General features: G+C 44.6%; 1 protein-coding gene across 14 annotated transcripts in view, besides 2 other annotated features; it reads right to left on the bottom strand.

The window, feature by feature from the left end:
- The window catches only part of ZNF431 (zinc finger protein 431), a 54,014-nt gene extending 50,029 nt beyond the window's left edge, over positions 1-3,985 (bottom strand). For 13 of the 14 annotated variants that reach the window (NR_138053.2, XR_007066665.1, XR_007066666.1 and 10 more), the window contains exons 1-2: positions 3,839-3,985; positions 2,382-2,474 (exon numbers count right to left, since the gene is read on the bottom strand). Coding sequence is in view for 2 of the 14 variants with exons in the window: in NM_001319124.2 (NP_001306053.1) it covers positions 2,382-2,474; positions 3,839-3,841 (96 nt within the window). In the remaining 12 variants the exon portion in view is untranslated. The remainder of the gene's footprint in view (positions 1-2,381; positions 2,475-3,838) is intronic. The other variant, NR_138052.2, reaches the window with a different exon arrangement.
- Positions 1,499-2,698: an enhancer, noted in NCBI's record as "P300/CBP strongly-dependent group 1 enhancer chr19:21326130-21327329 (GRCh37/hg19 assembly coordinates)". NCBI's record gives its function as "activates an origin of replication core promoter dependent on BRD2, BRD4, P300/CBP, MED14 and CDK7 cofactors, with strong dependence on P300/CBP, by STARR-seq in HCT116 cells {active_cell/tissue: HCT116}" and the evidence as "EXISTENCE:reporter gene assay evidence [ECO:0000049][PMID:35650434]".
- Positions 3,480-3,959: an enhancer, noted in NCBI's record as "active region_14382". NCBI's record gives its function as "activates an Ori minimal core promoter by ATAC-STARR-seq in GM12878 lymphoblastoid cells {active_cell/tissue: GM12878}" and the evidence as "EXISTENCE:reporter gene assay evidence [ECO:0000049][PMID:35858748]".

Here is a 15,431-nt window from a genome sequence, read left to right as displayed (position 1 = left end):
TCAGTGGTCTAAATAAAATTTTTCACAGGCTCCAGAACTTTGAACTATCCTCAGTCTGATTCAACATACAACCTTATTTTATGTCTCGTCTAAGAACATGCTGACTTCATGGTAAAACATTCTCTGATCTAAAATCTGATTTTTCACGGTTCATTTGCCATTCCCCTCCCACCTTCTTTCTAATCCTGTTTGCTCCTCCCTAGGAAAGAAAGCCCTTGTCAGCCTAAACTTTCCAATACTTACAGTTTTTATAATTGGTACTTCTTCCTGTTGCAATACTCTTTCGGAATTTTTTTTTACATAAATCTAACTTTGATATTCCAAAGCCTAGAAACTGCCTCAAAACAATAACAACATCATCAGTAAGATCCTCTCAGTCCCCTTTCATCTTAATCCTAACTGCATTTGCCTGTGGGTCCCCAGCTTTCCAGGGCTGTGTCAGCAGAAAGGCTTCTTCCATGGCTGGGTTGAGCAGACTGGGACATCTGCAGGGGAGGATCCCCAGAAAAAAACTAGCTGGGCTTTTATTTGTTTCTTTGTTTCTTTTTGAGATGGAGTCTCGCTCTGTCGCCCAGGCTGGAGTGCAGTGGCGCGATCTTGGCTCACTGTAAGCTCCGCCTCTCGGGTTCATGCCATTCTCCTGCCTCAGCCTCCCGAGTAAGCTGGGACTACAGGCGCCCACCACTACGCCTGGCTAATTTTTTTGTATTTTTAGTAGAGACGGGCTTTCACCGTGTTAGCCAGGATGGTCTCGATCTCCTGACCTCGTGATCCACCCACCTTGGCCTCCCAAAGTGCTGGGATTACAGGCATGAGCCACCGCATAGGTGGGCCTTTCATAACCTCCTTTTGTAGGCTCAATATTAGCCTTAGCTCTTAGTCACTGGGCTCAAGCTTTAATTTCCATGTTAGAGTTACTCACTTGGTTTTCGAAACTATGTGTTTGAAAAATCCAGCAAAATTACTCAAAGGTACTTACATTTTGTACCTAAATAAGAGAAGCAAAAGTATCCATTCCTTTCAGACAACATATCTATTATTTTATTGTTTTCATTAAAAACCATGTAGTAAACAGTTATATGGGAATACTTCTAGGTGATACCAAGTTTCATCTCATAAAATGTAGCATGAAACTCAGAAATCAAGATAACAGGATTTGAACAGAGATATTTAGTCACAAATTCACCCTGCAAAAAGAGCAACTGATGTTTTCATGAATCTATGTAACTCACCAATTATCTACCACATTATCTCATGGAAATGTATTCATTCTGTACAGCCAGAATGAATAGAGATTTTTCCCTATTCTTTTCCTTGGTAGCTAGCATTCTAAAAGCTAAGCCTTGGAATTCTGTTTGAATGCACCCAGCCATAAAAAAAACACACCTGAGGAAACTTGTAAACTCACTCTGGGAAAGAAAAAGGTAAATGAGAATTTTTAACAAATGGGATACATAATTAGATATTAATTTTTTTTCTAAAACCCACCTCTTTTATGCCCTTTGTAAATATTTTCCTACCTGCCAGGCACAGTGGCTCATGCCTGCAATCCCAGCACTTTAGGAGGCTGAGGCAGGCAGATCATCTGAGGTCAGGAGTTCGAGACCAGCCTGGCCAACATGATGAAACCCTGTCTCTACTAAAAAAAAATACAAAAAATTAGCTGGGTGTGGTGGTGTGTGCCTGTAATCTCAGCTACTTAGGAGGCTGAGGTAGGAGAATTGCTTGAACCTGGGAGACAGAGGTTGTAGTGAGCCAAGATCAATCCTTCTGCAGCCTGGGCAGCAAGAGTGAAACTTGTTTCAAAAAAAAAAAAAAATTCCTACCTTTCAAGCCCTACTAATATAATGCAATTTACAGCTAAAAAAGTGAGGTCAAAATAAGTAAACAAATATTTTCAAGGTGACAAACCCAGGGAGTGGCAGTGCTGATTAAAAAACAAATGTGTGTCTGACTCATGTTTCAAGTCAGGCCATTCAATCACTTGGGAGATTCTTCCACCCACTCCTGCTCACTTATGTGCTCATGAACCACCCATACAGGAGACACTGCAGTATTTCTCGGTGACTGCTCCAGGTGCATTTTACTTTGCAAGTTCTTACACCATCTCACTAGAGTCAGGTTTTTTTGTTTTTGTTTTTGTTTTTTTCTGGTCTTTTGGGATACTATTTTATCTGTCACAAATTTTTCACTTTTTAACACTATTTTTCTTCCACTATATTTATTTCATTATCTTTCTGCCCCCTAAGACAATCCAGGGGGCATACATTATTTCTGTGTTTTCCCATCAGTGCCAGCATCGGACTGGCTGACCAGCAATGTGTCCCCAAGAAATGAAAGCTGGGTTGGGCGTAGACAATTTTAATGTCTCAAGAGGTTACCTTTTCAAAATAAGAGTAAACTAGAAGATTCCTCTCAGCCCCAGGGCATCCACTTGCTTCCTTGAGAGGATACACTCCATATTTCAAGTCGTCCTATGGAAGAAAATAAACCAGAAGCTGATATTCACTAGGCACTTTAGCTGACATAACCACGGTGGATATCTTAGTTCATCCCCAGACAGCACTGAAACCCACGACCAGAAAAAAACTAAAAGGTGGCTGAGGACACATCACCCCATAAAGTTTCCAAAGGAAAACCTTGACCGAAAAACATTCTGACAAGATCTCTGTGCCTAGAGAAGATACAAGGAGAAAAGGCACAGAGAGTTTTAACAATACAGTATCAGGGGATTATTCTTTGCTTTCTTCTCATGGGAAATATTTACAGATATTTTTTTTAAAAAATCTTTTAAAAAACTTTTTGAAAAGCGTCATTTAATGCTTTGTCAAAAAATAATTAAAATACGGTATAGAAAAGTACACTAAAAGACAAATAGGCGATAACGTGAATTAGGGAGGAAAAGCTGGCATTTGGAAACACCAGAAGGAACTGGAAATTTAGTATCTTACTGCAAGCCAGAGGGAGGCTGGAGAAATGAGGAATGGGGGTTAGACTTAAGACCCTGCTTGGGACACAGGTGAAAAATGCAGCGGAAAATCAGCTCCCCATGGACTGTGAAAATAATTAAAAGGCAGGCAATTAGACGGAGGTGTCTTTAGTCCCTGGGTTCCTACTTTAAAAAAATCTAACTGACGTACATTTTTCAGTAAATTACTACATTGAGAGAAACAAAACTCAGCCCTAACCAACTATAAACTGCCAATTAACCTCTGATTACATAATCAGGAAATTTTCACCTTTATTGTACAAATTAAGAAACTATGTAACTCTACCTAACCAATTACTGAATTTGGTTTTCTTCATCATGCTTTTTATAAAAGTCTTTTCTTCAAGTCCCGCCCATGAAGCACAAATTACAAACCACAGCTGGGTGCTCCACAATTTTTGAATCACTCTTTGATTAAATTATTTAATGTTTTTATAGTGACTCCCATATATTTTTAACAGAAGACAAGAGGAACTGGGAACTCCACGGAACAAAGCTCTTCCCATTCATGAACCCGCACCCCGAGTCAGAACTGTCCCCTGAAGACCCTCCCGTGGTCCCTGCACAATCTGGGAAAGACGCGGTGCTGCGGGTGCAGAGCTGCCCAGAGAGGGCTCCAGGCCAGGGCACAGTCACTGTGCAGTGAAGAGACAGGACGCCTGGGGTCCCGACTGTCAGCACAGCCGCCATCTTATGGCTGGAGGGGACTGAGGCCGAGCTGGGCAAGGAGAACTCGGGGCGCAGACTGTGGAGCTGACTGCGGGGAGGCCTGAGTCCCGCCACAGCCACTTCCCACCGGTTACAACCAGCCCTTCCCCTCTCTCGGGATGTCCGACCCGGCACTCTCACCATTTCTAGGCTTTCAGGGGGTCCCGGTGTCTTAGCTGTGGGTCTCCCAATACCTGCAGGTCACAGGGCCACAGATGTTGGGCCTCTAGGAGCAGAGGACACAGAGCAGCGAAGGGGAGACCTGGAGCTCAGGCTGCGGCGAGAGACAAAGGCCCCGCCACATCCCGGAAGCCGTCCTGTCCGCTCCAGCTGCGTGCCTGATTGGACGGTTCCCAGCCTAGCGTCGCTGATTGGATAACGTTTAAAACCCCACCTTCTCAGGCCCTGAGTGACAGAAGATGCGAACAGATGCTGGGCTGAGTGAAGAAAGAGTGACAGCTTAGGCTGCCGTCTTTTCAGGCAGGGCTTCCTCCCAGAGCTTAGCCAGGCCCACCCCAGAGGGAATTTGTATTTAACCTTGTGTGTAAAGTCACATGCATTTATAAATAACATACTGTATGCCTATTCACAAATGAAAAGAATATAATAACAATTATTTTAAAATTTCGGATTTTATGACCTTCCCGGCTTCTGGTCTTTCAGCAGGCCGTCTGAAATTTTAGAACGGAGGTAATTTTCTGAAATAAAATGTGAGCCATATGTAAATTTTAAATTTTCTAGTAACCAAACTTAAAAAAAAAAAGTAACAGGTTGAATTGATTGTAACAATTTAATTAACCCAATATATCAAAAAATTTTCATTTTAATGTGTGAGAAATATGTGATTATTAATAAAGTATATAAATATTTGAAACTAAATCTTTGAAACTAACTCTGTATTTTACCTTTCTAGCACATCGCAGTTCAGACCAGGAACATTCCAGGCACTCAGGAGCCACACATGACCAAAGCTTCCACATTGAAGTGCAGCTCTGATGTCGGGAGGTGAAGGGCCCCAGCAAACCTTTTCTGCCAGAGGTGAAGGAAAAGCCTCTCCCTACCAACATCTCCCTTCAGTTCTGAGGGTGGAACAGATAGTGGCCATAGAAAGAGCAGAGGGCAGCAAGAACAAAATAACCACAAGGAGACCACTGATAGCCACCTGTTGCCCATTTTCTTCCAGAGATCAGACAGTGAAGAAAGAATGTTGGGGCCACAGGATAATAAAACTCTGTGTCTTCAGATCTGTCCACACTCTTGACCTCAAATGTTTAGATATGGAGAAAACAGATTAAAGGCAAAACTTATTTTGCTATTGGCCTTGGCCCTAATGGTCAGGCCGTAGTTATCTGTTTTCTCCTGTGGTGTGTGGGACTGTGTGGGTATAAGCACCAATCACATGCATACATGTCTACGTGTATTTCTGCATTACTCAACATTCTCTTACAAGTCACCCAACTTTAAATCAGGGGAAAAAATCAGTACCTATAGGGTGCCCACTGTTAGAAGGTAACTAGTAATCAACCTGTCATAGAATCCTGGTGTCCTATCTGCACGGGGTGCATGTATTAGTTAGCTATTGTAGCATAACAAATCGTCCAAAACTTATTAGTTCATAATTGAGATGGTCAGCCATTTAGGCTAGACTGAGTGGGGCCGTTCTTCTAGTCTCAGCTGAGCTCTTTGAGACACGTATCATCAGCTGCTTGTTGACTAGCCAGCTGTGCTTCTGGGGGTGAGCTTCTAGTTCTGGGGCTGTCAACAGGGCACCTTGCTTCTCCTTCCCATGGTATCTTATTTTCCAGCTGGCTAACATGGCTTTATTCAGGGAGATGGCAGCATTCTGAAAGAAAAACAGAAGCATTCAAGACCATTTGAGCCTGGGCCCCAAACTAGCCCACTGTCATGTTCACAAGTTTCTACCACTCTGAGCCAATAAGGCCAGCCAGATCTAGGGTTTGGAAAACAGATTCTGGATCTTGATGGAAACAGTTGTAAAAGCACCTGGCAATGGGCATGGATACAGAAGAGATTAAAAATTGCCACCATTTTGCAATTAGTACCAATCTACCTCTTTTCCATATGTGGTTCATAGAACTCTTTCACATCAAGAAAATTGTCCAAAGACCCACAGATACTAAGTGGCTGGGCTGAGACTCAGGATTAACTCTGTCTGACTCCAAAGCCCATGTACCTCCATAGATCACACTACAAAGTAGCTGCCCTGCCCTAGACCCTTGAAATCCTGGAGAGTGACACTTGTACAGAAGAAACCAGATTCCTTCAGATTTGTGCTCAGTACTGTTTATCATTGGGAATAATCATCTCAAGAAATTGCAGAAGCACTAGCTGGCTCACACCTGTATTGTTAGCACTTTGGTAGCCTGAGATGGGAGAATTACGTGAGCTCAGGAGTTCCAGTGCAGCCTGGGCAACATAATAAGATGCTGTTTCCATGAAAAATAAAATAAAATAAAATTTAGCCAGCCATGGTGGTGCATGCCTGTAGTCCCAGCTACTTAGATGGCAGAGGCAGGAGGATTGCTTGAGCCTGGAAGGTGAAGGCTGAAGTGAGCCATGATTGGTTACACCACTGCAATCAAGACTGGTTGATAGAGTGAGACCCTGTCTCAAAAAAAGAAAAGAAATTGAAGAAGCATTTTGAAAAGACATAGAATAATTTAAGGAAATAGCTGAGGGATGAGTTTAGGAAATCGAGGCCCAACAACACATTATTTATTTTTCATCATATAAAAAAATTTGAAAACTTTTAAGAGAAAGAAACTTTTTTTTTTTTTTTGAGACCAAGTCTTGCTCTTTTGCCCATCCTGGAGTGCAGTGGCCTAATCTCTGCTCACTGCAGCCTCTGCCTCCTGGGTTCAGCAATTCTCCTGCTTCAGGCTCCCGAGTAGCTGGGATTACAGGTGCGCGCCACTATGCCCAGCTAATTTTTTTTGTATTTTTCGTAGAGATGGAGTTTCACCATGTTGGCCAGGCTGGCCTTGAACTCCTGATCTCGTGATCTACCCGCCTTGGCCTCCCAAAGTGCTGGGATTACAGGTGTGAGCCACCGTGCCCAGCCTAAAAGAAAAAAACTTTAGAGAAATTATATTTAACAGAGTTTATTTGAGCATAGAATAATTTGCAAATTGGGCAGCCTGTGAATCCAGAACAGGGTCAGAGGGACTCCAGCACAGCCACATGATGAAAACAGATTTATGGCAGAAAAAGCAAAGGGACATACAGAAAATAAACATGAGGTGTAGAAACAGCCAGATTGACCACAGCTTGGGATTTGCCTTATTTGAACATGGCTTGAACACTTGATGTTATTTTATTGGTAAAAACACGGTGGTTGGTACAATAATAAGTTACAGTCTATTTATGTATAAATAAATCAAATGGTGCCATCTCGACTCACTGCAACCTCCGCCTCTCGGATTCAGCCATTATCCTGCCTCAGCCTCCCAAGTGGCTGGGATTACAGGCGCTTGCCACCATGCCTGGCTAATTTTTGTATTTTTAGTAGAGACGAGGTTTCACCATATTTACCAGGCTGGTCTTGAATTCCTGACCTCAGGTTATCCACTTGCCTCAGCCTCCCAAAGTGCTGAGATTACAGGAGCGAGCCACTGCACCCAGCCCTGATAAAATAGTGTTAAGCAAAGCTAACTAAATGGACTGGATTGTTTTTGTAATTGAGACTGATGACAATCAGATTCACTGAGAGTGAAAAAAATGTGTTGACTATTATAAAATAGTCATTGGATGTCTTATGCACCAGATAATAGAACCTCATGTATCTTCTGCTACTGAAGTCTAATATGATTAAATGCAGCAAAACTTCAGTGCATTATGGCAAAGCATATTTTCACCAGGTAAAGAATGCTTTTAATGGTCTACTGACTGAGGACAGTAAAACTCTTTATAATCTATAACCCAGAGATTGAGTCTGCTTGCCATCCACACTGCAGCAAGACTTCAGGACCTTGAACCTTGGGTTAATAATCTCATGACTCAGAAGGGCCCCTCCAAACATTTGCAATTGTATATCCATTGGAGATCTTAAGGTAAAGCTAACCAGTAAAGTTTCTTCTCAAAAGTGGATGGCAACATTGATATAGATAGCTTTTTTTTTTTTTTTTTGAGACAGAGCCTTGCTCTCTCATCCAGGCTGGAGTGCAGTGGTGTGGTGGTGGCTCACTGCAACCTCCACCTCCCGGGTTCAAGCGATTCTTCTGCCTCAGCCTCCCGAGTAGCTGGGACTACAGGTGTGTGCCACCATGTCCAGCTAGTTTTTGTATTTTTAGTAGAGTCGGGGTTTCACCATATTGGCCAGGCTGGTCTCGAACTCCTGACCTTGTGATCCACCCACCTCGGCCTCCCAAAGTGCTGGGATTACAAGCATGAGCCACCGCACCTGGCCCAGATAGACTTTTTTTTTTATAAGATCAAAAATCAAGACATCTTTGCTATCATACACTCTTTGTTCGCTGTTTTTTTCTTATGGCTCTACAAATGACAGAAATTAAAAAAGGCCTCTTGTGTGCACTCATGGCATACACTTATATGTAGAAGATTTTGGCTGGGCGTGGTGGCTCACACCTGTAATCCCAGCACTTCAGGAGGCTGAGGCAGGCAGATCGCCTGAAGTTCTGTGCAGTCACTCCAGGAGTGCACAGGAGTGCAGTCACCGCTCAAGAAAACCGATAACCACAGCCAGACAATTAGGGCCAAGGCCAAATAGCAAAATAAATGCCTTTAATCTATTTTCTCCATATCTAAACATTGGAGTTCAAGAGTGTGGACAGAACTGAAGACGTAGAGTTTTTTTCTCCTGTGGCCCCATCATCCTTTGTTAACTGCCTGATCTCTAAAAGGAAGGTGGGCAACAGGTGGCCAGCAGTGGTTTACCTGTGGTTATTTTATTCCTGCTGGCCTCAGCTCTTTCTATGGCCACTATCTGTTCCAACCTCGGAACTGAAGATAGATGTTAGTAGGGAGAGGCCCTTCCTTCCCCTCTGGCCCTTCACACCACTGACATCAGAGCTGCCATGTGTGGCTCCTGGGTGCCTGGAATGTGCTTGGTCTGAACTGCAATGTGCTAGAAAGGTAAAATATGCAGTTATTTTCAAAAATTTAGTTGCAAATATTTATATACTTCATTAATAATTACATATTCCTCACACATTAAAATGATATTTTGGATATATTGGCTTAACTACATTCTTACAATCAATTCAACCCGTTCTTTGTTTCTTTTTAAAGTTTGGCTACTAGAAAATTCAAAATTCACATGTGTCTCACATTCTATTTCAGAGGATTACCTCCTTTTTAAAATCTCAGGCTGCCTACTCAAAGGACTGTAAACCAGGAAGGTAAAAAAGCTGAATTTTTTTTTTTTTTATTTTTTCATGGAGATGGAGTCCCACTTCGTCACCCAGGCTGGAGTACAGTGGCATGATCTCAGCTCACTGTAACCTCTGCCTCCCAGGTATAAGTGATTCTTCTGGCTCAGCCTCCTGAGTGGCTAGGATTACAGGTGCACGTCACCACACCTGGCTAATTTATTTTGAGATGGAGTTTTGCTCTTGTTGCCCAGGCTATAGTGCAATGGCACAATCTCAACTCACTGCAACCTCCACCTCCCGGGGGTTCAAGCAATTCTCCTGCCTCAGCCTCCCGAGTAGCTGGGATTACAGGCATGTGCCACCACACCCAGCTAATTTTGTATTTTTAATAGAGATGGGGTTTCTCCATGTTGGTCAGACTGGTCTCAAACTCCCGACCTCAGGTGATTCACCTGCCTTGGCCTCCCAAAGTTAATTTTTTAGTAGAGGCGGGGTTTCACCATGTTGATCAGGCTGGGCTGGAACTCCTGACCTCATGATCCTCCTGCCTCAGCCTCCCAAAGTGTTTGGATTACAAGCATGAGCCACCACGCTTGGCCAAAAAAAGCTGAAATTTTAAAACATGTGTTATTATGTTATTTTCGTTTGTGTATAGCCATGTATATTTTTTTGAAATGGAGTCTCACTCTGTCGCCCAGGCTGGAGTGCAGTGGCATGATTTCTGCTCACTGCAACCTCCACCTCCCGGGTTCAGGCAATTCTCTACCTCAGCCTCCAGAGTAGCAGATTGGCTCCTGCAGCCCACATGTGCCACCTGCGCCACAGGTGCTGCCCACCATGCCAGGCTAATTTTTGTATTTTTAGTAGAGGTGGGATTTCACCATGTTGGCCAGGCTGGTCTTGAACTCCTGACCTCGTGATCCACCCACCTTGACCTCCCAAAGTGCTGGGATTACAGGCATGAGCCACCGTGCCTGGCCGCCATATGATATATTATTTACAAATGCGTATGACCTTATACGCAAGGTTGAATGCAAATATCCTCTGGGGTGGGTCAAGCTCACCTCAGGGAGGAAGCCCTGCCTGAGAGGGCTGCAGCCCATCATTTAATCATATCTTCTGTCACTCAGGGCCTGAGAGGGTGGGGTTTTAAACGTTATACAGGCTGGACGCCATGGCTCATGCCTGCAGTCCCAGCTACTCAGGAGGCTGAGGGAGAAGAATTGCTTGAACCTGAGAAGCGGAGGTTGCAGTGAGCCATCATGCCACTGCACTCTAGCCTGAATGACAGAGCGAGATTCCGTCTCAAAACAAAACAAAACAAAACAAAAGTTATCCAATCAGTGACTCTGGGCTGGGAACTGTCCAATCAGGCATGCAGCTGGAGCCAGCAGGGCGACTTCCAGGTTTGGTGGGGCCTTTGTCTCTCACTGCAGCTTGAGTTCCAGGTCTCATCTTCATTGCTCTGTGTCTTCTTCCCCTATAGATCCACAGCTAAGACGCTGGGACCCCCGGAAGCCTTGAAATGATGAGAGTGCCAGGAATGGGAAGAACTTTGTTCTGTGGGGTTCCCAGCTCCTACTTTTGCCTATTAAAACTTTATGGGAGTCACTCCAAAATATTTAAGAATTTAATTAAAGAGTGGTTTTAGAATTGTAGAGCACACAGCTATGGTTTGTAGTTTGTAGTCTATGGGAGAGGCTTGAAGGAAAGTGTTTTGTGTTAGGCATCTGAGCCGAAGCTCAGCCATTATAACCCCTGTGACCTGCATATATGTGTCCACATGGCCTGCAGGAGCCAAGAAGTCTGTAGCAGCCAAAAAACCACAAAGAAAGTGAAACAGCCAGTTCCTGCCTTAACTGATTAACCAACATTACAACATTCAACCATTGTGACTTTTCCTTGCCCCACCTTAACTGATCAATCGACCCTGTGATTGTCCTGTGATTCTTCTGGACAATGAGTCCCATGATCTCTCCACCATGCACCTTGTGACCCCCTCCCCTGCTAACAATAGATAACTACTTTTAACTGTAACTTTCCACTGTCTACCCAAGCCCTATAGAGCTGCCCCTCTCCTATCTCCCTTTGCTGACTCTCTTTTCGGACTCAGCCCACTTGCACCCAAGTGAATAAACAGCCTTGTTGCTCACACAAAGCCTGTTTGGTGGTCTCTTCACCTGGATGTGCTTGACATTTGGTGCCATGACTCGGATCAGGGGACCTCCCTTGGGAAATGAATCTCCTGTCCTCCTGCCTTTTGCTCCATGAGAAAATCCACCTACAAACTCGGGTCCTCAGACTGGCCCAAAAAACATCTCACCAATTTTAAATCGGGTAAGCAGCATCTTTTTATTCTCTTCTCCAACCTCTCTTGCTATCCCTCAACCTCTTTCTCCTTTCAATTTTGGCACCACCCTTCAATCTCTCCTTTCCCTTCATTTCCTTTCCCTTTCTGGTAGAGACAGAGGAGACGCGTTTTATCCATGGACCCAAAACTCCAGTGCTGGTCACAGACTCGGGAAGACAGTCTTCCCTTGGTGTCTAATCACTGTGGGGATGCCTGCCTGATTATTCACCCACATTCTAGATGTGTTTGATCACCGCGGGGATGCCTGCCTTGATCCTTCACCTTGGTGGCAAGTACCACCCCTCTCTCTCTGTGTCTCTACCCTCTCTTTTCTCTAAACTTACCTTTTTACTATGGGCAACCTTCTGCCCTCCATTCCTCCTTCTTCCCTCTTAACCTGCATTCTAAAAAACTCAAAACCTCTTCAACTCTTACCTGACCTAAAACCTAGCATCTTATTTTCTTCTGCAACACTGCTTGGCCCCAGTACAAACTTGAAAATGGCTCTAAATGGCCAGAAAATGACACTTTTGATTTCTCCATTCTACAAGACCTAGATAAGTTTTGTCAAAAAATGGGCAAATGGTCTGAAGTGCCTGACGTCCAGGCATTCTTTACACATTGGTCCCTCCCTAGTCTCTGCTCCCAGCATGACTCATCTCAAATCTTTCTTCTTTCTCTCCTGTCTGTACCTTCAGTCTCCACCCCAAGCTCTGGGTCCTTTAAGTCCTCCTTTCCTATGGACCCATCTGAACTTTTCCCTCCTCCCCAGGCTGCTCCTCCACTGCCAAGCAATTCTTCCTCAGCCTCCACTCCCCCACCCTATAATCCTTCTATCACCTCCCCCCTCACACCTGGTCCAGCTTACAGTTTCATTCTGTGACTAGCCCTCCCCAACCTGCCCAACAATTTCCTCATAGAGAGATGACTGGAGCTGAAGGCATAGTCAAGGTTAATTCTCCTTTTTTCTTTATCCAACCTCTCTCAAATCAGTTAGCATTTAGGCTCTTTTTCATCAAATATAAAAACCCAGCCCAGTTCATGGGCCATTTGGCGGCCACCCTTAGACACTTTACAGCCCCTAAACCGTGAAGGGCCAGAAGGCCATCTTATTCTCAATATGCATTTTATCACCCAGTCACCTCCTGACATTAAAGAAAGCTTCAAAAATTGGAATCTGGCCCTCAAACCCCACAACAAGAATTAATCAATCTTGCCTGCAAGGTGTTCAACAATAGACAAGAGGCAGCCAAGTGGCAACATCTTTCAGAGCTGCAACTGCTTGCCTCCGCTGTAAGACAAACTCCAGCCATGCCTTTGGCACACAAAAACTGCAGAACAACCAAACCGCAGCCTCTGGGCACTCCTTTAAAACCTCCTCATGGACCTTGCTTCAAGTGCCGCAAAACTGGCTACTGGGCCAAGGACTGCCCACAGCCCAGGATTCCTCCTAAGCCATGTCCCATCTGAGCAGGACCCCACTGGAAATCAAACTGTCCAACTAATATTGCAGCCACTTCTAAGGCCCCTGGAGCTCTGGCTCAAAGCTCTCTGGCTGACTCCTTCCCAGATCTCCTTGGCAAGACTGATGCTGCTCAATCGTCTCAGAAGCCCCCCGGACCATCATGGATGCCAAGCTTCAGGTAACTCTTACAGTGGAGGGTAAGTCCGTCCCCTTCTTAGTCAATATGGAGGCTACCCCCTCCACATTACGTTCTTTTCAAGGGCCTGTTTCCCTTGCCTCCGTAACTATTGTGGGTATTGACAGCCAGGCTTCTAAACCTCTTTAAACTCCCCCACTCTAGTGCCAACTTGGACAACATTCTTTTATGTACTCTTTTTTAGTTATCCCCACCTGCGCAGTTCCCTTATTAGGCCAAGACATTTTAACAAAATTATCCACTACCCTGACTATTCCTGGAATACAGCCGCATCTCATTGCTGCCCTTCTTCCCAACCCAAAGCCTGTTTTGCATCCTCCCCTTGTAACTCTCCACCTTAATCCGCAAGTATGGGATACCTCTACTCCCTCTTTGGCAACTGACCATGCACCCCTTACCATTCCATTAAAACCTAATCACCCTTACCCCACTCAATGCCAGTATCTCATCCCACAGCAGGCTTTAAAGGGACTGAAGCCTGTTATCACTCGCCTGCTACAGCATGGGCTTCTAAAGCCTACAAATTCTCCTTACAATTCCCCCATTTTACTTGTCCAAAAACCGGACGAGTCTTACAGGTTAGTTCAGGATCTGTGCCTTATCAAATTGTTTTGCCTATCCACCCTGTGGTGCCCAACCCGTACACTCTTTTGTCCTCAATACCTTCCTCCACAGCTCACTATTCCATTCTTGATCTTAAAGATGCCCTTTTCACTATTCCCTTGCACCCCTCATCCCAGCCTCTCTTTGCTTTTACCTGGACTGACCCTGACACCCATCAGTCCCAGCAGCTTACCTGGGCTGTACTGCCACAAGGCTTCAGGGACAGCCCTCATTACTTCAGCCAAGCCTTTTCTCATGATTGAGTTTCTTTCCACCCCTCTGCTTCTCACCTCATTCAATATGTTGACGACCTTCTTCTTTGCAGCTCCTCTTACCAAGCTTCCCATCAGAACAGTATCCTACTTCTTTAACATCTCTACTCAAAGGGGTACCAACTATCCCCCTCTAAGCCTCAAATTTCTTCCCCTAGTGTTACATATCTCAGCATAGTCCTTTGTCAACATACATGCACTCTTCATACAGACTGTGTTCAGTTAATCTCACAGACCCCTATCCCCACCACCAAAGCATCAACTCCTTTCCTTTGTAGGCATGGTTGGATACTTTCGCCTTTGGATACCTGGGTTTGCCATCCTAACAAAACCATTATATAAACTCACAAAGGAAAACACAGCCGACCCCATAGATCCCAAATCCTCTCCCCACTCTTCTTTCCATTCCTTAAAAACAGCTCTAAAAACTGCTCCCACACCGGCTCTCCCTGACTCATCCCAACCCTTTTCACTATACACAGCCAAAGTGCAGGGCTGTGCGGTCGGAATTCTTACACAAGGACCGGGACCATGCCCTGTAGCCTTTTTGTCCAAACAATTTGACCTTACTGTTTTAGCCTGGCCCTCATGTCTGTGTGCAGTGACTGCCACCACTCTAATACTTTTAGAGGTCCTCAAAATCACTAACTATGCTCAAGATGTCCTCAAAATCACAAACTATGCTCAACTCACTCTCCACAAGTCTCATAACATTCAAAATTTGTTTTCTTCCTCACACCTGATGCATATACTTTCTGCCCCCTGGCTTCTTTGGCTATACTTGCTCTTTACTGAGTCTCCCATAATTACCCTTGTTCCTGGCCCGGACTTCAGTCCAGCCTTCCACATTATTCCTGATACCACACCTGACCCCCATGACTGTATGTCTGTGATCCACCTGGCATTCACTCCATTTCCCCATATTTCCATCTTTCCTATTCCTCACCCTGATCACACTTGGTTTATTGATGGCAGTTCTCAGCATAGTCCTCTGAATTGTAATTCAGAGGAATTGTAAGGAGAATTTGTAGGCTTTAGAAGCCCATGCTGTAGCAGGCGAGTGATAACAGGCTTCAGTCCCTTTAAAGCCTGCTGTGGGATGGGATACTGGCATTGAGTGGGGTAAGGGTGATTAGGTTTTAATGGAATGGTAAGGGGTGCATGGTCAGTTGCCAAAGAGGGAGTAGAGGTATCCCATACTTGCGGATTAAGGTGGAGAGATACAAGGGGAGGAAGCAAAACAGGCTTTGAGTTGGGAAGAAGGGCAGCAATGAGATGCGGCTGTATTCCAGGAATAGTCAGGGTAGTGGATAATTTTGTTAAAATGTCTTGGCCTAATTGCTACTCACCAGCAAAGGCAGGCTATGCTATAGTCTCTTCCACATCTTTCATTGAGGCTACTGCTCTGCACCACTCCACTAGCTCTCAGCGAGCCGAACTCATTGCCTTAACTTGGGCCCTCACTCTTGCAAAGGTACTGTACGTCAATATTTATAC

Source organism: Homo sapiens, chromosome 19 (genome assembly GCF_000001405.40).
Source record: "Homo sapiens chromosome 19, GRCh38.p14 Primary Assembly".
NCBI lineage: Eukaryota > Metazoa > Chordata > Mammalia > Primates > Hominidae > Homo > Homo sapiens.
The sequence above is the reverse complement of the archived record's forward strand: the minus strand, read 5'-3'. Positions and strand labels throughout refer to the sequence as shown.